Genomic DNA, 24,513 nt, shown 5'->3' on the forward strand with positions numbered 1-24,513 from the left:
CAGCAGGCCAAAGTGTGAGAAACTCCAAGCAAATCCAACAGAAGACAGCAGCCAGCCAAGTTGAATCCACTTTTTAATATTGTAACCATAATGCAAACAAGCATAATAGGCTTTTGTTGAATCCCATAAAATTGGAAGATGAGAACTATACAGAAGAAGAGCATGCGACAAACACAGCCTGGACAACCTCGCAAAGAGCGTGGGGTGGGCGTCAGTCCTTCAAGGAAGGTGCTGGAGCACAGGGACACTTGGCAGAGATTAGCAGCATTGAGAGCTCAGAGGTAGGGGGGACGGCCGAGTTTCTGACAGCGTGTGTGTGTGTGTGTGTGTGTGTGTGTGTGGTGAGATGCGACCAGGTCTGCCCACCTCCCCAGCTTCCCAAGCCCGGAACGGACACTGCGACGTGGGGTGCCCGGCACCGCTCTTTGGGCCTTCTGGAAAACCACTGCTGAGCCAGGAGTGTGAGTCTTAACAATCACAACGAGAACACAACAATGAAAACAGTGGCGGCAGAGCACAGGACATGGGAGGGGACTGAGACCCAGCTCAAGAGCACTGGATCTCAGTGAGTCTTAATCAGAACCAACACCAAGGACACAGTGTCTTATTGAAACAGACTGCCATCCTCTGTTCTGGCATGGGAGGGCTTTTTTTTTTTTTTCCACAGGGTCTCATTCTGTCAACAAGCTGGAGTGCAGTGGTGCCATCTCGGCTCACTGCAGCCTCTGCCTCCTGGGTTCAAGTAATTCTCCTGCCTCAGCCTCCCGAGTAGATGGGATTACAGATGCCCGCCACCACGCCGGGCTGATTTTTGTATTTTTAGTAGAGACGAGGTTTTGCCATGTTAGCCAGGTTGGTCTCTAACTCCCAGCCTCAAGTGATCTGCCAGCCTCGGCCTCCCAAAGTCCTGTGATTACAGGCATGAGCCACCACGCCTGGCCTGGGAGGGGTTTTTGAAAGCATACTGCCCTCCCCATGCCCCCTCCCCCGGACACCCTCAAATCCCACTTTGGCAGCAGATAATGGAAACAACCACTGGGCTAGGCAAAGTTTCTGCTGCGTGCTCCAGGAAATCTATAATGAGAAGTCCTGGGGTAGCCAGCAGAGATTCTCTTGACCCTGAAGTCCAAGAGAGGGGTGTTGCCCCCTGGGGACATTGGGCAATGTCTGATGACATACTTGATTGTTACCGTTGGCAGGACACTGCTACAGGTATCTTGTGGATGGAGGCCAGGAATGCTGCTCAGCTTCCTACAGTACCCAAGACGGCCCCCACAAGAAAGAATTACCCAGCCCCAAATGCCAATAGTGCTAAGGTTGACAGACCCTGCGCTACAGTCTCCTAGAACTTAGGAGTCAAATCTGGGCACTTCGATGTCCTGGAGTTACTTTCTAAAAGACTACAGGAAGCAGTGCATGGAGGCAGATTTGTTCCCGCCTGCCAGGGCCATCTCGTTAATAACGGACTGTGTTTTGGGCCAGACGGGCATAGCCCCGCTTGACCAGAACTGTTTGGGTATTTTAGAACAAAACAAACTCATATAAACATACTAAGGCATATTGACAGCTGACCACCTCCCTCGCACATGGCTTTGATAAGTATTAATAGGAAACAGACTCTCGACAGACACTGCTTTCCACGGGTGAAAGTGTACCTGGGTCCTTACATTTGGGGAAGGGCAGCTTTTCTTTTGGGGCCCCTTTGCCACAAGGCAGGGACTGGCAGTGGGCCAAGGATAGGGAGTGTGAGATAAAGGGCAGAGGCCAGGCCAGGTTGGCCTCCAAAGTCAAATCCCTGTTCATGGGGAACATCTATGTTGACTCCCTGGGAGGCAGGCCCCTTCCCTCAGACCCTCAGACCTGTGTTTCCTTAATCCCAGCACCTGGTCTTTCATTTTAATTTTTTTTAGAGACAGGGTCTTGCTCTGTCACTCAGGCTGGAGTGCAGTGGTGCGATCCTAGCTCACTGTCGCCTCAAACTCCTGGGACCAAGTGATCCTCCTGCCTCAGCCTCCCAAGTAGCTGGGACCACAGGAGCATGCCATCATGCCCAGCTAATTTTTTTTTTTTTTTTTTTTTAGTAGAGACGAGATTGCGCTGTGTTGCCCAAGCTGGTCTCAAACTCCTGGCCCCAAGTGATCCTCCCACCTCAGTCTCCCAAAGTGCTATTACAGGCATGAACCACCATGCCTGGCCTACTTTTTGAGCCAAAGAGGACATTTGGATGCAGGAGACTATGAAGGTTGGGGACAGCCAGAGAGTATGAATGGGTTATAAAGGAAGACTAGTTAGTGTTTCTCTCTCCTTGTTGCTTCCTGGCAGTCTCAGACTACATTCCTGATACAGACAGAAGGCTTTGAGGACATGGTGGCCACAGCGGCATGCTGGGTATGTGGGGCAGCGGGTAGGGAAATATACAAGGAAACATGGCTGGTTTAAAACACAGGCTAGAAGTCCACAGATTTCCTAATGGCAAGAATGAAAAGGCTGCATTAGGCGCTGGTGCTGTCGGAGTGAAGGGGCTCAGGCATCTGGATTGCCCATCCTATTAGGACCATTTGCCCTATGAGCTAGGTCAGGACACCTCTCACTTGTTTTGAGCTTAGGGCAAGACCTGACCTCTTTCAAAGTCCAGAGCAGGCAGCTGCTGAAAGCGTGTTTGGTCAGAAGATTCTGTGTTCTTAGCCAATGTCTACTGGCTGGGGGTCAGTTTTCCCTCCGGGCATCTGGGCATGGCTGGACTTGGGAAGGATTCACCCTGTTGACTCCAGAGAAGCTGACTATCACATCAGCTCTGAAAACTCATCTTTTCCCTGAGCCTGCTCTTCAGAGACCTCTCTCTCAGCTAGGGGCAAGATGTTTTATTTTATTTTATTTTATTTTATTTTTTTTGAGATAAGAGTCTTGCTCTGTCACCCAGGCTGGAGTGCAGTGGTACAATCTTGGCTCACTGCAGCCTCCACCTCCTGGGCTCAAGCGATCCTCCTTCCTCAGCCTCCCAGGTAGCTGAGACTACAGGCGCATGCCACCATGCCCAGCTAATTTTTGTATTTTCTTAGTAGAGTCAGGGTTTCTACTAACTGGCTGACTGGTCTCCAACTCCTGACCTCAACTGATACACCCACCTCGGCCTCCCAAAGTGCTGGGATTACAGACATGAGCTACCGCGCCCAGCCTGCAAGATGCTTTAATTTCTCCTTTATTCTCACCCTCTACAATGGATGGGGTGCCAGGTACGCTGATTCAGTTCCTGGAGTCTCTTTATCACTACATCCGCCTCTTCCCTCACTCAAGCCTTGGTTGCAGCAATAACCCCCCCAACAGCTCAACGGGCCATGCTCTGTACTGTGGCCAGAACTTTCTTTTCCAAGTATAACTCCAATCGCCTTAATGTCCCTTTTTGAAAAACATTCTTAGGGACTCCCTGTTGCCTTCTGAATAAAGCCTAAATTTCTTGTAATGCCACTCACCTCTCCCCACGGTCTGGTCCCAGCCCACCTTTTCTCACCCTCCTCAGCCTTCCAAAGCCAGCCTCAATTTATCTTACATGCTCCCTGTCCGTGCCTTTCCTCTCACTCTTCCCAATTCCTGGACAACTCTTACCTTCCAGAAGCTACCAGTGAAATCCCGCCCATTTCTCAAACCCCAGAAATTTATGTCAGTTCCAAGACGGGTGTCTCTCTCCATCAGATTATAACCTTTGGCTGGGCGTGGTGGCTCATGCCTGTAATCCAGCACTTTGGGAGGCTGAGGTGCGTGGATCATTTGAGGTCAGGAATTCAAGACCAGCCTGGCCAACATGGTGAAACCCTGACTCTACTAAAAATACAAAACTTAGCTGGGCGTGGTGGTAGGCGCCTGTAGTCCCAGTTACTCAGGAGGCCGAGGCAGAAGAATCACTTGAACTGGGGGAGGCAGAGGATGCAGTGAGCTGAGATCGTACCACTGTACGCCAGCCTGGGTGACAGAGCAAGACTCTGTCAAAAAAAAAAATAGATTCTAACCTTCTGCACGAGAGGAACTGTGTTTTGCTTATCTCTGCAAACTGCCCGGTGCCTTCCACACACTGGAGAAGCAAGACATGTTATAAGTTAAGTGAAAAATTAAAATGCAGTAAGTTTTGAACCAGGTACTGTAACTGGGCATTTCGTGGGCATTGTCTCATTCAATCCACCTTGTTATACAGGTGGGTATGCAGACTCTAAAAGGTCAAGTGAGCCGCCCACAGCCATCTGCACCAACAGGGGCAGAATTAGGATTTGCACTCAGGTCGGCTCCCAAAATTCCATATTGATGGGTCTGAAGTGTCCCCCCGCAAAAGAAAGACACCTGGCTGTCTCACTCCAGGGAAACCAAAAGAAGCCCTCTCTCCTCCCAAGGAGTTTAACATCATCTCTCTGCTCTTTCACGACACAAGCTGTGGGAACTGGATGCATAGTGATGGCAGGTGAGCATGATGTTCCGGTGTTCCTATTTCAGGAGACGTCTCATTCCTCCTGGCCAAACTCACTTTTGTGAAATGGGGCTGGAGCTGCTACTGGTCAATTCAGGGGGAAGAGGGAAATAAATGGGCCATAACCCGAATAACCCCCAAATATCTTGTCAACCCTATTTTGCTTACCCATTGCTTAATTCTATTTTGCACTTAAACGGTTGGCTACGAGGCCTGGATGAAAAGCCACCACGAGAGGGCAGTATTTCCCCACCCTTGATCTGAGCCTAACAATCTGGACTCCACTCTGGTCCTTGAGAGGTTACTCAACAGAGAGAGAGGCTTTTGGTATCAGGAATTCTGGCAAATGAAAGAAACACATCAGATCGCTCTCCTGCCTTCTAGCCTGGAGTTGTGAAGCAGCTTGTGTTGGGGATTGAAAGGTGTTTACTTAAAAAAAAATCTTTCTGGAGAAGAAGGATGAATCCTGGTTTTATAATCATTTCTTTGGACTCCTTGACAAAATGAGACAATGTTTCCATCTGTCTGCTACTAGAAAGGCAGGCACATGCAGAAAGGAGGTGCCTGGCACCTTGTAAGCGCTTCTAAGTATTTATTCCCTGATGGAAAAGCATTCCTGCATAAAGCTTGACTTGGAGTGGGAAGCACTGATCAATTTGTCTTTAATGGGGATTGGACACAACAGTTTCCTTCCCTGGGGAATTGGGGAGGCGTCTCCAAAGCTATAAAGGATTGGAAAGAAAGCCTTTGGGAGGAAAGCTACTAGGAGCTGGAAATGGGTTTGCAGGAAAGGAGTTTAGAATGGGCTTCCCTTCAGGATTAGAAGGGGTGAGTGTGGGATGCTAAGTGTTTGTTCTTTATATCTGTGGAAGAGTGAGCAGGGGAAATTGGGATTAAAGGAAGGCAGGGGAGATTATAGCTGGCATGAAGTCAAGCTCCATGTGGCAGGAACAGGACACCGGTGGGGGCTGCCAGGGATGGCAGAGCAAGGTGAGTCATAGATTGCCTTTTCACTTTAACAGTCTCCTGGCCTGGGCCCTTTGGGGTCTTGGTGCCCCCACTGTAAAGCCCTTTCAAAGAGGGCCAGTGCACTTCCTCTTTAGCAGACACCCAAACTGAACAACAAGATATGCCCACGTACAGTATATAAAAGAAATGTGGTTTTTCTGTATAGCAAGACACAACAAACAGGGTAGAACCAGCAGAACATTCCCTTTCCATCCTTGGGGACCCTGCAGTCTGGGAGGCCACTAGGATTTCTTGTCTCTTTCTGGGAACTGCCTGACACTAATTTGTAGTATTTAAAAAAGTATACAAAGGGATCCCTTCCCACCATTTACTCTGAGAGAGTAAATTCAACAGGTTGCCTCTTAGGGAGGAATTACACCGGCTCCAATTCCTACCGAAGACTTGGCTGCCCATTTTTGATCTGAGTTGAGGGTAACTTATTTGTCAAAATTAATTTAACAGGTTTAAAACTTTGGAGATCAACTGCAGAGGGCAACAAGCCTGAGGGACAAGTTCTTCCCACCCCAAGTTGTGGCTCCTATCGAAGAAGCCACGTGGGACCTCATTATGGCAACTCTTTCCAACCTCATCCACTTTAACCAGCTTCCATTATTTCATCCCCAAGGGTGAAGCAGCAAGCCCGCTTTGGGGGAATAAAAAAATAATAATCATATTGTTACTTGATATTGTTTCCAGGCACCAAAGCTTTAACATTTAATCCATTCATATTCTTTAGGTTCGTATGACATTATGACTAGGAAAAACTGAGGACAAGTGACCCATCCAAAGTCATCCAGTGGCAAAGTGGGAAGATCCTTATTGCCACCAGGCTTCTTTGAACAACATAACTTCCAGGCCCCTTGGATGCTATTGCTGGAGGAGGGGGTCAGTCAATGGATGTGGCAAAGTCAAGTGATTCTAGCTGGTATGGGTGGGTTTGGGGAGGGGATTTGCACAATCCATTGGATGGGTTCATGTCACATGAGGGCTCTGCTCACTGGTATCAAAATCTAAATGCAGCAAATTCTGGGAATGCCTCTTTCATTGGGAGACAGCCCCTTTAATCAATTTCCCACTCCTCTCCCCATGCCCTGAACCCTTTCTAACTAGAACAATTATGGGGCTTCCAAATGTTTCAGGTACATGGGCGTGGACCCTAATTATGGACACACGAGGGATTAATATGGGCCAGGGACACGTTTCTTGGCATTGAGGGTCTTCAATGAAAGCAGTGGCAATCTAAGATCGACACACTTGTGCAGGGAAGAGGACGGACAGAGACCTGGCCCATCACACACACACACACACACACACACACACACACAGGCACGCACAACCAAAATGTCATCATAAAAAAGGAGAAAGGGGGACTTCAGTGGCTGAGGGACTGGCTCAGAGAGCTTGTGCCTAGTTCCTGCAGCCTTTCCAGGGGAACCCCAGAGAAAAAAACCCCCACAGCGACGGCCATGTTCCAGTGGTTTCATGCACCCGTGAGTTGCCCTTGTCGGCAAGAGAGGGAGTGGGAACAGAGTTTTGTAAGAGCCACTGCAGATTAGAAAAGCATTGCATCGCAGCAGGAAAACTCAAGGAGTAAACCCAGGAGGGCCGAGGAAACCACTGAGGGGCGAGAAGCCCGAGGAGGGAAACCAGGGCACAGCGACAAGGACAGGAGGCAGAGCGAGGGCCACAGGGGGTCCCAGAGGAAAGGTTCAGCAGTGTCTGTCCGCGCTTACAAAACTTGCAGCCGGCTGGGCAAGAGGGTCCAGTTAGGAGCTGAAAACCCTGTGGAAAGAGAAGTTGGGGGGCAGTTAGTGCCCCAAGGGCAAGGCTGCTGTTTCCTCTGAGTGCCCCAGAGAAAATCACCCATGCTCTGGGCTCAGGGGCTTTGTCTCTTTCTTTTTTTTTTTTTTTTGAGACGGAGTTTCGCTCTGTCACCCAGGCTGGAGTGCAGTGGCACGATCCCAGCTCACTGCAATCCCAGCAGGGTTCAAGCGATTCTCCTGCTTTAGCCTCCCAAGTAGCTGGGATTACAGGTGCCTGCCACCACGCCCGGCTAATTTTTGTATTTTTAGTAGAGATGGAGTTTCACCATGTTGGCCAGGCTGGTCTCAAACTCCTGACCTCAGGTGATCTGCCCGCCTCAGCCTCCCAAAGTGCTGGGATTGCAGGCGTGAGCCACTGCACCCGGCCCGTCTCTTTCATTTATTCTGTAGCCTTAGTGTCTTGGACAGGACCTGGCACCTAGCAGGGGCTTGTTTTGAAAGAATGAATGAATGAATGAATGCTCACAAGTACAACTGGCCAGGAAGAGAAACATTTAAAAGGACTTTTTTTTTTTTTTTTTTTTTTTTGAGACTGAGAGTCTCACTGTGTCGCCCAGGCTGAAGTGCAGTGACGTGATCTCGGCTGGCTGCAACCTCTGCCTCCTAGGTTCAAGCGATTCCTGTGTCTCAGCCTCCTGAGTAGCTGGGATTATAGGCACATGCTACCACACCTGGCTAACTTTTGTGTTTTTAGTAGAGACAGGGTTTTGCCATGTTGCCCAGGCTGGTCTTGAACACCTAGGCTCAAGTGATCCACCCATCTTTGCCTTCCAAGGTGCTGGGATTACAGGTGTGAGCCACTGGGCCCGTCAAAAGGGATTTTTTTTTTTTTTTTGAGACGGAGTCTTGTTCTGTCACCCAGGCTGGAGTGCAGTGGCGGGATCTTGGCTCACTGCAAGCTCCACCTCCCAGGTTCATGCCATTCTCCTGCCTCAGGCTCCCGAGTAGCTGGGACTACAGGCACCTGCCACGACGCTCGGCTAATTTTTTGTATTTTTAGTAGAGATGGGGTTTCACCGTGTTAGCCAGGATGGTCTTGATCTCCTGACCTCATGATCCACCGGCCTCAGCCTCCCGAAGTGCTGGGATTACAGGGGTGAGCCATCGCGCCCGGCCTTTTTTTTTCTCTTGAGATAGGGTCTTGCTCTGTTGCCTAGGCTGGGGTGCAGTGGTGCCATCATGGCTCACTGCAGTCTCGATCTCCCTGGGATCAGGCCATCCTCTTGCTTCAGCCTCCCAAGTAGCTGGGACCACAGGCGCGTGTCACCATGCCCTGCTAATTTTTAAATTATTTGTAGAGACAGGGTCTCCTTGCGTTGCCCAGGCTGATCTTGAACTCCTGGGCTCAAGCAATTCACCCACCTCAGCTTCCCAAAGTGCTGGGATTATAGGTGTGAGCCACCACACCTGGCCTTAAAGGCTTTTGACAACCCAGGGACTTGTGACCTTAAAGACAATGATATGAGTCTACTGGCCACGACAGTATGTTTTAGAGACTGCTGTGTCATCGTAAGGGGAAAACAAAGAAGATGCCAAATTCAAGAAATGAGTGTATGCCTTGTGTTGTTGAAAAAAGAGACAGCTGAGTCCCCACCCAATTTAAAGTAAAGGGCGTCCAGGGGTGCTTTCCAGGGGTTCTGTGGCAGGGACTGGGGCGGGGAGCACTGGGAAGTGAAATTACGATCAAGGTTGCCATGCCATAGAATTCAAGTAAGGTTTAAATCATGAGACCCGGGCACAGTCTTCTGGTGCCTCAGCCTGTTTCCAGCAATTTCTAGAGGTTCAGTGAAATTGTCAAAATCATGTGAATTATAATTTGTGTTGATGAAAAAGCCCCCAGCCATTTAGGGGATGAGAGAGCTGGTGGAAAGGACACAAAAACTGAGCGCCAGACCTCCACCTAGCTCCAGGGGCGATCCCATTCTTCTCCCCACTTTCCTAAATGAGCAGCGTTCAAACACTTTTGTAGAAGAAACCCTTGCCCTAAATCTGATGCTAAACCCCAGTAGGTAAAAAACAAACAAGACAGATACTTCTGGTAGAAATGTCACAACTCCGGCCATGTGCGGTGGCTCACACCTATAATTCCAGCACTTTGGGAGGCTGAGGTGGGCAGATCACTTGAGGTCAGGAGTTTGAGACCAGTCTGGCCAACATGGCGAAACCCCGTCTCTACTAAAAATACAAAACTTAGCCGGGTGTGGTGGTGCACGCCTGTAGTCCTAGCTACTTGGGAGGCTGAGGCACGAGAATTGCTTGAGCCTAGGAGGTGGAGGATGCAGTGAGCTGAGACTGTGTCACTGCACTCCAACCTGGAGTACAGAGCAAGACTCCGTCAAAAAAAAAAAAGCAACTTCCCAGAGGTAGGAGCCATCATTACACTAGGGGGTGCCCCAAACAGAAGCCGGCCCCCAAAGCAGGCATTTCCTCCCACACTGGACAGGGCCTCAGGGTTCCCCTGGAGAATTAGTTAAAAGGCAAACTGCTGCATCCTAACTCCTGAGTTTCAGATCCAGCAGGTCTGGGGTGGTCTGGGAATTTGCATTTTGAACACGTTCCCAGATGGTGCTGATGCTGCTGTTTTGGGGACCCTGCCGTGGGAAAGCCAGACATTCCTGCCCAGTGGGACCTAGAAGAGAGGGCTCTTCCTGCCCCTCACCCAGGGATGGAGCCAGCTTACTCATCGGTGTCTTTTTTGCTCTCTTCAATGAAGGCAATGGACTCAGATCTAAGGCGGTTGGTCACTTCGTACGTTCGCAGGGTGACTCCAAAAATATCCTCATGGTATCGGTTGTCATCCTAGAAGACAGAAACAGCCAGAAAACAGCTCTCAAATGCCAGATAAAGGCTTGGAGCAGGGGCAGACTTGCCTGACACCTGGAATGGAATATCCCTAAGGAAGATGGTTCCCAAAGAGATGAGGCTGAAGCCAGTGTCCCCGAGGTACCTTTGATCTCGAAGACTCTGCTCAGCAAAACTGTTCTCTGGGACGTGGGGCAACTGTTCTCTGGGACATAGCCCAGTTGGCAAAGAACATTTAGGTTGCCATCTGGAAACACCGCTGCTGCTTGGTGGATTCTCAGGTGAAAAGGAGCGATGAGGTCAAATGGAAACCTCACCATTCCCTCTTTCCTCCCTCCAACGTGCTCTTGCAAGTTCAGGTCTGGGCAAAACTGGGTTTAGTGTGAAATAGCCCATGAGACCAGAAGAAAGGGGAGGAAGGAACAAGTGGCCGCATAGCACTCAGGGAACTCCCCACAGCTACCCACAGTGGAGACTCCGTGGGCATGCGTGAGTTTTTCTGAAGATGAGCATCTTTGCTCAACATTGCCCAGAAAGAAGCAAGCAAAGAGAAGAACCTCCCCCGGAGTCTCAAGAAACAGCCCAAACGACGACTGACTTGTGACATCTGAGAATTTACCAAGCTATGGGAGCTCCTGTGGCGGGCAGTCAATATTCTCAAAGGGCAAGAGGATCAAACAAAGAGAAAATGCATCTCAATGCTGAAGAAGGGCAGTGGTTGGGAGTGTGCGTCTGGCAAGGCAGGCATAATCGTGCACTAGGTTCCAGCCTCCCCATCTGTAGAGTGGGTTCATTTTCAGTTGGGGTTAGTTGTTTTTTTTTTTTTTTTGAGACAGAGTCTCGCTCTGTCACCCAGGCTGGAGTGCAGTGGCGTGATCTCGGCTCACTGCAACCTCCACCTCCCGGGTTCAAGTGATTCTCCTGCCTCAGCCTCCTGAGCAGCTGGGACTACAGGCATGCGCCACTACGCCCAGCTAATTTTTGTATTTTTAGTAGAGACGGGGTTTCACCATGTTGGTTGGCCAGGATGGTCTCGATCTCTTGACCTCGTGATACACCTGCCTTGGCCTCCCAAAATGTTGAGATTACAGGCGTGAGCCACTGCACCCAGCCATTTTTTGTTTTGTTTTGTTTTGTTTTTTTTGTTTTTGTTTTTGAGATGGAGCCTCACTCTCGTCGCCCAGGCTGGAGTGCAATGACACGATCTTGGCTCACTGCAAACTCCACCTCCCAGGTTCAAGCAATTCTCCTTCCTCAGCCTCCCAAGTAGCTGGGGCTACAGGTGCCCGCCACCATAGCCAGCTAATTTTTGTATTTTTAGAAGAGACAGGGTTTCACTATGTTAGTCAGGCTGGTCTTGAACTCCTGACCTTAGGTGATCCTCCCACCTTGGCCTCTCAAAGTGCTGGAATTATAGGCGTGAGCCACCGAGCCCAGCCGGGGTGAGTTTTAAACTCTCTTCTGCAAAATCCTGGGGAATCTTTAAAAGTGTGTCTAGAGGGTCACACTAAAGAGACTGAGTATATAGAGGGCTCCACAGTTCTCCTCGGATCTCTTTGTGCAGTGCCCAACCTGCACAACTACATGGGGCAGTGCTGCAGCTTCTGGGGCAGGAGAAGTTAGGTTAGAATGGTTTCTGTCTAGCTACCAGAGGTCCACTCACTCGTTATTTTCACACACAGCCTCCAGTCATATTTGCTACACCTGCCTGCATGCCCAGCCATCCTTCTACTTTCTCTGTCATTGTTTGGGACCATCTATATCCTCTACCCTCAGTGGTAAGTGCAACGAATGGGAGCAGGGATATCATCGTGGCTCCCCTAATCATCAAGACAGGTTGGATGAAAAAGGGGGGATAGGAGAGTGGATGTAGGAAAAGGGACCTGGGAAGTCAGCCTGTCACTCACCCTCATCCGGCTGATGAATACGCCGGCGTCCTCTGCCGAGAGCTTCCCCTGCTGGGTCATGATGCGCTGGATGGCTTTGAGGACATCAGCAGCCATGGTGACGTCCCCACAGACGTATATGTGGCCCCCTTGCTCCTTCAGGGCTCGGTACACAGACTCCGCCAGCTGCTCCTGCAGGATGTCCTGCACGTACTTCTGCAAGGAGCAGAGAGCAGTGAGAAGGGGCTGGGCTGTGCAACGTGCCTGCCATAGCCCATGTCTGCCCAGGAAGCAGAGCCTGACTCAGGGGCTTGTGGGCAGGTAGGATCTTTTGTGAGCTGATCCCAGGGAACAAGAGTGAGGGACTGGGAAGAGTGAGATAGAGAAGGCGGGAAAGTCAATTGGAGGGTGCGGGAATGCACTGCTACCCTCTTTGGATAACTGGAGCTCAGCTCTGCTAAGGACCCTCCAGGGAGCTGGATAGACTGTTTCCCAGAATCATCCCCTGGAGAGGGGAAAGACGGGGAGCATTCACTACCCACTTCTCTCTCCTGGTGGCCAATGGTCACCGGGTGTTAACACCTGCACATTTCCAGGTGTGCAGCTGGTTATTGCAGGCACCCTATGTTACAGTGCCAGGGAAGCCCTGGGCCGATAGCAAGAGATGGGGGTGAGGTGAGGGGCTGCCAGCTTCCACCTCTGCAAAGCCGGCTGCTGTAGCGATAGCAGAAGGAAAAGGTGGGCTAAGGAGGTGTGAGGTGGGCACAAGGCGTGTCCAGTACAGCTCCAGGGAGCTCATTTGTTCAGGATGTCTTTAACTTGTCCAGGAAACTCCCACTCTGAAGCTGATATTTAGCTGGAACATGCTGGTATGGCTGTAGCGACTCTTAAGACTGAGATACTCCCACCCTAGTAGTCAGACACTGCCCGGACTCTCTGAGTGCCCCCCCAACCTGCCACGATGTCCTGACTCCTTCCCTGGGACCCCCAGACCTCCCCAAGATCCCATGGAGCTTTAGTTCTGTGGCCCGTGTCCATTCTGACTAGTATTGCCTCTTATGGGCTGTTAAATTTATTTTTATTTATTTATTTATTTATTTATTTATTTATTTATTTTTGAGACAGAGTCTTGCTCGTTGCCCAGGCTGGAGTGCAGTGGCATGATCTCAGCTCACTACAACCTCCGCCTCCCAGGTTCAAGCCTTCCTCCTGCCTCTCAGCCTCTTGAATAGCTGGGACTACAGGCATGCATCACCACACCTGGCTTTTTTTTTTAGTAGAGATGGGGTTTTACCATGTTGGTCAGGCTGGTCTCAAACTCCTGGCCTCAAGTGATCCACCCACCTCGGCCTCCCAAAGTGCTGGGACTACAAGAATGTGCCACCGCGCCCAGCTAATTTTTATATTTTTATTAGAGATGGGCTTTCACCATGTTGGCCAGGTTGGTCTCGAACTCCTGACCTCAAATGATCTGCCCACCTTGGCCTCCCAAAGTGCTGGGATTACAGGTGTGAACCACCACACCCGGCCTAAATTTGTTTTTTTTAATTTCTGTTTTTAAATATTTTTAATTTTTATTTCTAATTATTTATTGTTTAGAGACAGAGTCTTGGTCTGTTGCCCAGGGTGGAGTGCAGTGGCATGATCACAGCTCACTGAAGCCTTGACCTCCCAGGCTACCCTCCCACCTCAAGCTGCCCTCCTGCCTCAGCCTCCCAAGGAGCTGGGACCACAGTCATACGCCACCACGCCCAGCTAACTTAAATTTTTTTTTTTTTTTTTTTTTTGTAAGGACAGGGTCTCAGTATGTTGCCCAGGCTGGTCTTGAACTTCCAGACTCAAGTGATCCTCCCACCTCAGCCTCCCAAAGTGCTGGGATTACAGGCGTGAGTCACGGTGCCTGGCCCCACATTTTTCATTATGGTAAAAACGTCATGTAACATTTACCGTCGTAACCACTTTAAAGTGTATGACTCAGTGGCATTAAGTACCCTTCTCAGTGTTACGGGATCATCACTATCTGGTTCCAGAACTTTTTTCTTTACGTCAGATGGAAACCCCATGCCCATTTGCAGTTACTCCCCATTCTCCCCTCCCTCAGCCCCTGGCAACCACTAATCTACTCTGTCTCTATGGATTTGCCTATTCTGGATATTACATATAAGTTGAATCTTATAATATAGGCTGTTAAATATTTTATTTCATCACATATATATTTTTGAGATGGAGTCTCACTTTGTCACCCAGGCTGGAGGGCAGTGGCGCGATCTCAGCTCACTGCAATCTCTGCCTCCTGGGTTCAAGTGATTCTCCTGCCTCAGCCTGCCAAGTAGCTGGGACTACAGGTGTGCACCACCATGCCTGGCTAATTTTTGCATTTTTAGTAGACAGGGTTTCACCATGTTGGCCAGGCTGGTCTCCAACTCCTGACCTCAAGTGATCCACCTGCCTTGGCCTCCCAAAGTGTTGGGATTACAGGCGCTCGGCCTGTTAAATATTTTACATAGATATTTTCCCTACCCATGCTTTCTGAAGTACAGAGCAACTTCATAGAGGGAAAATCAGGAAGCTTAAGAGTGAGGGTGAGGGGTTTCTGAGAGTAGGATGTCCAAGTGTGCATGTGTGTTGGGCTGGGCTAGGGGGTGGGCTGCTGGGGGTTACCTTTGGTTTGTCTGGCTCCCGGGAGTAAGCCGTGTACAGCTCTCTGAAGACCCCCTTGTTCTTGGCCTGCAGGGTCTCTTCCCTGTAGATATGATCTATCTTGGATTGCCGGCACCCGAAGACCAGGACCATGGGGCAGGGGTTCATTCCTGGGGACCAGGAAGACCTTATGTCACCGATGGCTCTCTGCCTGATGTGCAGGGTGGCTGAGGTGCCAGGGATGGGGTACTGAGACCTTAGCGTGTGCCATGCGGATAGAGGCTCACAAACACTAGGACAGGCAGATGTATGCGTGCACACACATGTACACAGGTGCTCACATGCACGCACATGCACACACATACACACACATACATATGCACGCACTGAGGAAGGAGGTGAAGTGTGTTCAGATTTTAGTGGATCTCCCTCCCAGGTCTCAATCCTTCCTTCTGCTCCTTGACTACTTAGGAGCCCCCACCTGATGCCCAGACTCTGGGCCTAAGACCCAAGCCTCTGGAGCTAGACGGCCTGGTTGAAATCTCAGCTCTGTGATGAACAACTTACTCAACTTTTTTTTTTTTTTTGAGATGGAGTCTAGCTCTGTCACCCAGGCTGGAGTGCGTGGCACGACCTCGGCTCACTGCAACCTCCACCTCCCGGGTTCAATCCATTCTCCTGCCTTAGCCTCCCAAGTAGCTGGGATTACAGGTGCCTGCAACCGCGCCTGGCTAATTTTTGTATTTTTAGTAGAGATGGGGTTTCACTGTGTTGGCCAGGCTGGTCTCGAACTCCTGACCTTGTGATCTGCCCGCCTTGGCCTCCCAAAGTGTTAGGATTATAAGCGTGAGCCACTGTGCCTGGCCTTTTTATTTATTTATTTTATTATTATTATTATTTTAAGATGGAGTCTCACTATGTTGCCCAGGCTGGAGTGCAGTGGTGTGATCTTGGCTCACTGCAACCTGCAGAGTGAAACCTGCAGAGTTTCACTCTTGTTGCCCAAGGTGGAGTGCAATGGCACTATCTCGGCTCACTGCAACCTCTGCCTCCCGGGTTCAAGTGATTCTCCTGTCTCAGCCTCCCAAGTAACTTGGATTACAGATGTGTGCCACCATGCCTGGCTAATTTTGTATTTTTAGTAGAGACAGGGTTTCACCATGTTGGACAGGCTGGTCTCGAACTCCTGACCTCAAGTGATCCACCTGCCTCAGCCTTCCAAAGTGCTGGGATTACAGGCGTGAGCCACCGCACCCAGCCACGATGTACTCAACTTTCTAAGCCTCTGCTTCCCTATTTGCAAAATGGAAGTAACAGGACTGTTGTGAGAAATGAATGTGAAACATTACAACTCTGCCTGATACCTGGCAAGTACTTTATAAATGTTAGCTATTCCGCTAGAATGACAGTTTCATGGGGGCAAGTTTTTACTGACTGATTGATTTGTTTTTATAATCATCCCTCAAATCAATGGAAAGGTTTTCATTTCTATTTTAGTTGCTTTTCTGTCTTGTTCACTGCTATGCCCCAACGCCTCCAATAGTGTTTGGCACTCATTAGGTGCTCAATAAATCCTTGTTTTATTTTATTTTATATTTTATTTTTTTTCTCAGACGGAGTCTCACTCTGTCACCCAGGCTGGAGTGCGGTGGCACGATCTCGGCTCACTGCAAGCTCCGCCTCCCGGGTTCACGCCATTCTCTCACCACAGCCTCCCAAGCAGCTGGGACTACATGTGCCCGCCACCACGCCGGGCTAAATTTTGTATTTTTTAGTAAAGACAGGGTTTCACCGTGCTAGCCAGGATGGTCTCGATCTCCTGACCTCGTGATCCGCTGGCCTGGGTCTCCCAAAGTGCTGGGATTACAGGCGTGAGCCACCGCGCCCGGCCAATAAATCCTTGTTTAACGCATGCCACAATTTGGGTTTCTTTCTCTCTCTCTCCTCCCAAAGCTGATCTGCTGTGTCTTTCACATAGCACTTGCTCTTGAATAACAGTCTTTGCAATAATTACATAAGCATAGCCATTTGATAAGGACTAATGCCTATCTTTTCCAGGCTACTGGATTTTTTTTGAAGAGATCACATCTTAACAGTCAAAGAAATGTCCTCTGGGCCTGGAATTTCAGGCCCCTGGGACAGGCTGTTTGGATTACACCATGAACTTCACCTGTAGGTCAGGCTGGTGCTACACGCCCCAGCTTTTCTGAGGCGGTGATGCCGTGGAGAGACACCTTCACTGTTCTCTAGGGCTGCTGAGACACAGCTGGACCTCCCCAGGTCCGGGGGTGGGAACCAAGTGGCCACTGGACTGTAACCCACCTTTGTGTTGGATATCAAATTGCCGCTGTTGCCAGAAGCTTCGGAAAGGGGCAATGCCGGTGCCTGGTCCAACGAGGATGCAGGGGACTTGGGGGTTCCGGGGCAGGTGGAAGCTGGGTGCTCTGGGCAAGGAAGAGGGGGTCAGAAGTCTTGCAGAGCTCAAATCCAATCAAGAACAATTGAATCTTAGGTAGACCAGGTGGCCATCTTCGGTAGACATACAATGAGACTTAAGGCTCTTCAGCCGGGGCCAGGTGCCCCTTTCCAGGGTGGGAGTCTCATCGATTAGGGGAATTCCAAAAATGGGGGGTCCTCAAGTTCTGGCTATTTCTCCATTCCCCAATTCTTCTCACTGCTGAGCTCAGCAAATTCAACCCAGGGTATCTCTACGCTGGCACCCTGGTCACTTGGGGTGAACACTCCTTTGTCGTGGCACTGTCCTATGCATGGTAGGGTATTGAGCAACATCCCCGGCTTCCACCCACTAGATGCCAGGAGTACATGTGAGTTGTGACAACTCATAATGTCTCCAGACATTGTCAAATGTCCCTGGGTGGCAGGGGTGGGGTGGGGTGCTGCAAAAATCACCCTGGTTTGAGAGCCACCATTTTTTTTTCTTTCTTTTTTTTTGAGACGAAGTCTCACTCTGTCACCCAGGCTGGAGTGCAGTAGTGTGATCTTGGCTCACTGCACTCCACTTCCCAGGTTCAAGCAATTCTCCTGTCTCGGCCTCCCAAGTAGCTGGGATTACAGGCACCCGCCACCACCCTCGGCTACTTTTTTTTTGTATTTTAGTAGAGATGGGGTTTCGCCATGTTGGCCAGGCTGGTCTCGAACTCCTGACCTCAAGTGATCTGCCTTCCTTGGCCTCCAAAAGTGTTGGGATTACAGGCGTGAGCCACTGCGCCCAGCCCAGAGCCACTGGTTTAACCAACCGTGAAATCTTTAAATCAAGGAGTCACAGACTTCAGTGTGTAAAAGAATCACCTGGGGATGTTCAAGGTGCAGATTCCTGGGCCATACAGTACATCTGGGCTCAGGACTCTATGTTTGAAACACCCCAGAGGACTCTGATGCCAATGAGATTTGGATCATTATCAATGGCATGTGGATCATATCGTGAACATTCTAACCTCAATGGTTGAGAAAAATGATTGGCCAAAGTCACTGTTCAGGTAGAGAAGTTATTGATCGACAAAACAGGTTAACTATAACTGGTCTAAGATCAGCTATAGCCTTTACAGCTGAATTTGGGAGGAAAAGCTCCAATGAATGGGGGTGATTGGATTTTTTCCATCTCTAGGAAACTGGGACTGATTGGGAGCGAGCAGTAGAATTTGGCTAGAATTTCCACTAGCCCATACGGTCCATGAAGGTGGAGACTGTATTTGCATGGTTTTCCCCGATAGCTCCAGCACCTAGCCCAGTACACGCCCAAATGAAATGTGTGTTGCATTGACTTGACATTGACCAGAGGACTTGCCTAGCTTGCTGTGCTGCTCTGATCTTGTTTCCTTAACAACTAAGAGAGACGCAGGACATTGGTCTCCATCGTGTGTCACCCAGCCATCTCTCTAGAACCCTTCAGACTGGTCCACCTACCCCAACTTGTGACGTCAATATGCAGATTTGAGATGATTGCTCATTTTTCTCCACTTATTACTCACCCTCTCACGAAACAGGGGACCAGTTCGTCAGCCTGTATCCGGTTGAGCCAGGAGGAGCATACGCCGTGGTGAATTGGTCCTTCTCCATCTAGTAGAATAACCAAGGCAGTCAGGGCCACCCACTGCTCCCGAGCACGGCCTCCCCTCCTCCCTCCAGTGCAAAATACCCACAGGCCCAGTGCCAAGTTTATCCTTTGGAATTCCTCCCCAGGATCCCTTCCTCTGAAGGGCAAGAGGAAATGGTATAGCTGGGGTGACTTCGTGCCTGTGCAACCACCCAGGGTTCTATTGGGTAGGGGTGGGTCGGATTCGAATCCTTCCCTATTGAAGGGTGCTTCTGGTGGCTTGCTGGGCTCCTGGGACGGGCACTGTGCATTTTAATTGCTTTATCTAGGAGGAAAAATACAGGGCAGAGCTTGGGTTATCTGACTTACAACCAGCTGGGCATGATACAGCAGAGCGCTCTCCCAGGGAGTGAGTAGTGGTGGCTTGTTCTAGTTGCTGCTTTGGGGATATTAGGGGGCGCCACTGTAAATACACATCTTGCCTCTTTCCTAATTCTGCTCAGGCTTGGCTCTGCACCAGGGGACAGTTCACCTGCTGCTTCTTCCCCCAGCTTTCTGGTCTTGGGGATGAGTTTCTTCCCAGGGATTTGGGATTTAGCCTGCAGACGGTGGTTTAGGGAACCCTCCAGAGGCCCCTTGGGGGAAAATGCAGCTGAGGAGGCTCTCCCAGTGCCTCCGCCCACCTCGAGTGCGGTAGGAAACGATGGCCACAGTGAGGTGCACTTCATCAGGGTACATGTCTGGGGAGGAGCTGATGGAATAGTAGCGGGGCTGCAGCAGGGACAGCTGGGTCAGGAGCAGGGTGGCCGGCATCTGGATAGATGGGAACTCCTCCAGCACCTCCACGATGGTGGGGTTCTTGCCCCATTTCCATTCCTCGTACTCCTGCAAACCCTGTGCCAAGGAGATGGACAGAGACAAGCTTGAACCCAGCTGCCACATACTTCCCATGAGGACCTGAGGGGGTCCAGGAAGAAGGCAAAATAAAAGTAACAGTTGGCAGGTGCAGTGGCTCATGCTTGTAATTGCAGTGCTTTGGGGGGCCGGGGAGAGAGGATCACTTGAGGCTAGGAGTTCAAGGCCAGCCTGGGAAACATAGTAAGACCCTGTCTCTACAAAAAATTAAGAAAAATTAGCTGGATGTGGTGGTGGATGTCTGCAGTACCCCAGTTTCTTGGGAGGATGAGGTGGGAGGACTGCTTGAGTTCAGGTGCTTGAGGCTGCCATGAGCTATGATCATGCCACTGCACTCCAGCCTGGGTGACAGAGTGAGACCCTGTTGACAGATAGAAAGAAAGAGAGAGAGAGAAAGAAAGGAACAAAGAAGGAAGGAAGGAGAAGGAAAGAAAGAAAAAGAGAGAGAAGAAAAAAGCAAGAAAGAAAGAAAAGAAAAAGGGAGCAATAATAGTTAACACTTGAATCGCAATTATTCTGTGCTAAGTTTTGATTCTCATGAGGACCTTATGAAATAGGTATTACTGTTTCCCCATTTTATAGATGAGGAAACTGAGGGTTATAGAGGTCCCATGGCTACTAGGTGGTGATGCTGGGTGAAACTGATCCTTGCTCTAGACAGTGTGTCCTCAGAATCTGTGTTCCTAGTCACTACACACTCCTGAAGTCAAGAGAGACGCACTATGGAAGGGAGTCATGACTCATGCAGGGAGTGGCAGGCATTCAGTGGAGACCTGTGATTTGTTGGTTGCAGAGTCTGGAGATGCATCTTTGGAGAGCTTGGGTCATGTTCATGATGGTGAGTGACAGCCCCAGAAAAATCAGGTTGGGGTGTGTGGAGGACCATGTTTGGGGACGTGTTGACAGCAAAGCCCAGCTGTAACCAGGCAACAGAGGAACTCTCTGGAGCTCTGGAGTTATTTTTCCTTAATCTCAGAAGACGCCCTAGGCAGTCTCTGATTGCTGGAACAGAAGGCTCAGTTTCTGAGACCAGGGTGCGAGTGCACTGTGTAACAAAGATTTTCACCATGTTCCTAAAGACTGTCCTGGCCTTATTTATTTATCTATTTTTAAACTTTTTTAAATTTATTTTTTTTGAGATGGAGTCTCACTCTGCTGCCCAGGCTGGAGTGCAACGGCACGATCTTGGCTCACTGTAAGCTCCGCCTCCCGGGGTTCACGCCATTCTCCTGCCTCAGCCTCCCGAGTAGCTGGGACTACCGGTGCCCGCCACCACGCCCAGCTAATTGTTTGTATTTTTAGTAGAGACAGGGTTTCACCGTGTTAGCCAGGATGGTCTCAATCTCCTGACTTCGTGATCCACCCACCTCGGCCTCCCAAAGTGCTGGGATTATAGGCATGAGCCACTGCGACCGGCCTGTTCTGGCCCTATTAATAGGCGATGGCATCCTTGACATTGTGCTTCTCAGACCTCCAGCCTGACTGGCCTGCAGTTGCAGGAGCAACATGGACCAAGAGCCCTGGCCTCTCAACTCTTTGAAACTGACATCACCTGAAACTGACATCCATCACCCTGTTGGTGCCAGGCCTGGCTTCCCACAGGCTGCTCCCTGCCAATGACCAAGCACAGGAGTCTCCAGGGCTACTCAAGGACCTTGCTGGGCCTTCCTTAAACTGCACTGCTATCTAGAATGTTCCCATCCAACCTTTCTTCCTTTTCCTTTGGTTGGGGTTAGATTTGTTTTGAGGTCTGATGGTTCTCCCAGCCTTATCTGATCCCTTTCCATTTTCTGTCACACAGGTGTTTCCCCTAATAAAAATCCTTTCTCATTTAATCCTGTCTTGAAGTCTGCACTTTTTGGAAGAAATGAACTAATACATATGGGTTATATCAAATTCTTCTATCTATCTATCTATCTATCTATCTATCTATCTATCTATCTGGAGACAGATTCTCGCTCTGTCACCCAGGCTGGAGTGCAGTGGCATGATCTCGGCTCACTGCAACCTCCGTCTCCTGGGTTCAAGCGATTCTCCTACCTCAGCCTCCCGAGTAGCTGGAATTACAGGTGCCCACCACCACACCAAGCTAATTTTTGCATTTTTAGTAGAGACGGGGTTTCACCATGTTGGCTAGGCTGGGCCCGAACGCCTGACCTCAGGTGATCCGCCTGCCTTGGCCTCCCAAAGTGCTGGGATCACAGGCGTGAGCCACTGTGCCCGGCCTATTTATTTATAGAGATGGGGTCTTGCTTTATTTATTTATTTACTTATAGAGATGGGGTCTTGCTCTTTCATCCAGGCTGGAGTACAGTTGCAAGATCGTGATTCACCACAGCCTCGAACTCCTGGGCTCAAGTGATCCTCCCACCTTAGCCTCCTGAGGAGCTGGGTCTACAGGCATGTGCCATGACGCCCAGCTAATTTAATTTTTTTGTAGAGATGGGGTCTATGTTGCCCGGGTTGGTTCCAAACTCCTGGCCTCAAGCAATCTTCCCAACTCTGCCTCCCAGAGTGCTGGGATTACAGGCATGAGCCACTGTGCCCAAATTCTGCTTTAAATAAGATAAAAACAGTGCAATCTAATAAGGTACCAACAGTACAATCTATGATCCTTCTTCCTATTAGCCACCCTCCCCCATTAATTAAAAGTTTTAAATCAAAATTATACTTGCAGATAGTCTAAAAAGTTAAATAACTTTGTAAAGCTTATGATTAAAAATAATGGTCTCCTGTTCTACCTCTGCCATCTGCTTCCAAGTCCTTGGAGGTAACTACTTACAGCCCTTTAAGTGTTCCTTCTGCTATTTATTTTCATATTTCTAAATACTATGCACTCGCTAATTAGCCTCTTCCTTGCTGCCCACCATTCAATCCCCTCTCCTGGACGGCAGAAGAAAGCTAAGCCATCCTGTGCTGGGGGCTTGCTCACTGGGAAGGAGCCCCCATTGGGAGCAGCATGGGTGGTTCTCCTGGGTAGAATTTTTATTGAGCAAGGCTTTGCAGTGGGCTGGGGCAGGTGATCCCAGGGTTTCTAAGCAAGGTGGTAGAGGCTACATTTGGTTCATTTTACAATCAGAGACCTCTGATCTCTAATAGTCCCCCCTGCAGCTCCTCTGCATTGGCAAAAGCTCATCATTTGCAGCCACATGGATGGAACTGGAGGACATCATGTTAAGTGAAGGAAGCCAGGCACAGTAAGACAAATTTTGCACGTTCTCATTCATTTGTGGGAGCTAAAAACTAGAAGCAAATAAAGTCATGAAGATGGAGAGTAGAAGGAGGGCTACAAGATGCAGGGAAGGGTAGTGGGGAGGAGTGGGGGAAAGTGGAGATGGTTCATGGGTACAAAAATACAGTCACATAGAATGAATAAGATCTAGGCCGGGTGCAGTGGCTCATGCCTGTAATCCCAGCACTTTTGGGAGGCCGAGGTGGGTGGATCACCTGAGATCGGGGTTTGATGGTGAAACTCCATCTCTACTAAAGAAAAAAACTACAAAAATTAGCTGGCCATGGTGGAAGGCACCTGTAATTCCAGCTGCTCGGGAGGCTGAGGCACGAGAATCCTTTGAGCCCGGGGAAATGGAGGTTGCAGTGAACCGAGATTGCGCCACGGCACTCCAGCCTGGGCTAGAGAGTGAGACTCTGTCTCAGAGAAAAAAAAAAAGAATAAGATCTAGTATTTCCTAGATCTAGACAAGGTGACTATAGTCAACAACAATTTATTGTATATTTAAAAATAACTAAAAGAGTGGAATTGGAATGTTCCCAACACAAAGAAATGATGAATGCTTGAGGGGATGAATACCCCATTTGCCCTGATGTGATTATTACACATTGTATGCCTGTATCAAAACATCACATGTACCCCATAATATATATACCTACCAACCAAGTACCCATAAAAATAAAAATTAAAAAAACAAAAAACAAGAAAAAACCTTATCTTTAAACCAAGGCATGGTGAGATCCTGTTTCTTTTTCTCCTAAGCATGGGCTAAGATGGCACTAATGGAAGCTCAAGGTTCCAGAAGAAGACAGAAAGAGTTAGAATAGCAATTTCTGTTGTAGCCAGGGAACTGTTGATTCAAGGGAGTCACTCTTGCTCTGCCAGGCCTTAGAACTGGTGGAAGACCAGCCACGTTGGACCAGCCAATATGGCAATCTACAGCAAATAATGGCCCCCTTGGCTCAAGACTTCCATCTGCTGGAAGCCTGGTAATAACAGTTTTCAACTCTTTAATGACGAGGAGGTGAAATGCGCCCCCTAGGGTTGTGCGAAGCCTGGGGACCCACCTTGCTGAGGACCAGCAGACGCTGCTTCTCCTTCTCGCTGGTAGCTAGGGAGGCAAACTGCTGCAGCTGCAGAGGCGTTGGTGGCGTGGTGATGTCCAGGTAGTACTTGAAGGCCTGGAAGATGGTGCAGGGCGGGAGGCGGAGCTCGTCTGTCCAGTTACTGATGACACCTGTGGAGGTACAAGGCAGGTGACAGGTGGGTGTGGGAGGGCTTGAGTCCAAGTCGGGGGTTCAGGTCTGCTCCTGGAGCAGAGGATGGGGCCAGGAGAGGAGGGTGGCTCCAGAGCCAAGCAACCTTCTAGCTCTCCACCTTCCATGCCCAGAATCCAGGGGATTTCATGTGTGCAAGAAGCAAATCCCAAATTAGGCAAATGAATCCAAAAATTAAGAAAAATACATGAAGAGAGGAGAAAAATACTAAAATAGCATGACAGTCCACTGGCATTCTATACAATGAGCCCCCAGCTGTGCGTGACAGAGATAAGCCTATTTCGGCCCCATGTGTCTTTGCATGGTATCAGCCTCTCACCCCCTGAATGGGATGTTAGTGTTGTCATTATAAACACTAACACATTCTATATGCCGAGTACTATTATTAGTATTTTATATTAGCTCATTTAATCATCACAACAA

General features: G+C 49.5%; 1 protein-coding gene across 4 annotated transcripts in view, besides 2 other annotated features; it reads right to left on the reverse strand.

Annotated features, from left to right (window-relative positions):
• Positions 61-24,513, reverse strand: part of NOS1 (nitric oxide synthase 1) — a 153,485-nt gene continuing 129,032 nt past the window's right edge. For all 4 annotated transcript variants that reach the window (NM_000620.5, NM_001204218.2, NM_001204214.2 and 1 more), the window contains 8 exons: positions 23,881-24,050; positions 19,350-19,560; positions 18,602-18,689; positions 16,935-17,056; positions 14,634-14,782; positions 11,994-12,188; positions 9,965-10,083; positions 61-7,243 (listed from right to left, as the gene is read on the reverse strand). In NM_000620.5, the coding sequence (NP_000611.1) occupies positions 7,228-7,243; positions 9,965-10,083; positions 11,994-12,188; positions 14,634-14,782; positions 16,935-17,056; positions 18,602-18,689; positions 19,350-19,560; positions 23,881-24,050 (1,070 nt within the window). In that variant the 3' untranslated portion in view covers positions 61-7,227. The remainder of the gene's footprint in view (positions 7,244-9,964; positions 10,084-11,993; positions 12,189-14,633; positions 14,783-16,934; positions 17,057-18,601; positions 18,690-19,349; positions 19,561-23,880; positions 24,051-24,513) is intronic.
• Positions 11,664-12,220: an enhancer, noted in NCBI's record as "H3K27ac-H3K4me1 hESC enhancer chr12:117657550-117658106 (GRCh37/hg19 assembly coordinates)". NCBI's record gives its function as "activates a minimal SCP1, AML or CMV promoter by ChIP-STARR-seq in primed H9 embryonic stem cells {active_cell/tissue: H9 hESC(primed)}" and the evidence as "EXISTENCE:reporter gene assay evidence [ECO:0000049][PMID:30033119]".
• Positions 18,509-18,709: a silencer, noted in NCBI's record as "peak1985 fragment used in MPRA reporter construct". NCBI's record gives its function as "represses an SCP1 promoter by STARR-seq MPRAs in K562 erythroleukemia cells {active_cell/tissue: K562}" and the evidence as "EXISTENCE:reporter gene assay evidence [ECO:0000049][PMID:32103011]".

Source organism: Homo sapiens, chromosome 12, assembly GCF_000001405.40.
Source record: "Homo sapiens chromosome 12, GRCh38.p14 Primary Assembly".
NCBI classification, from domain to species: Eukaryota; Metazoa; Chordata; class Mammalia; order Primates; family Hominidae; genus Homo; species Homo sapiens.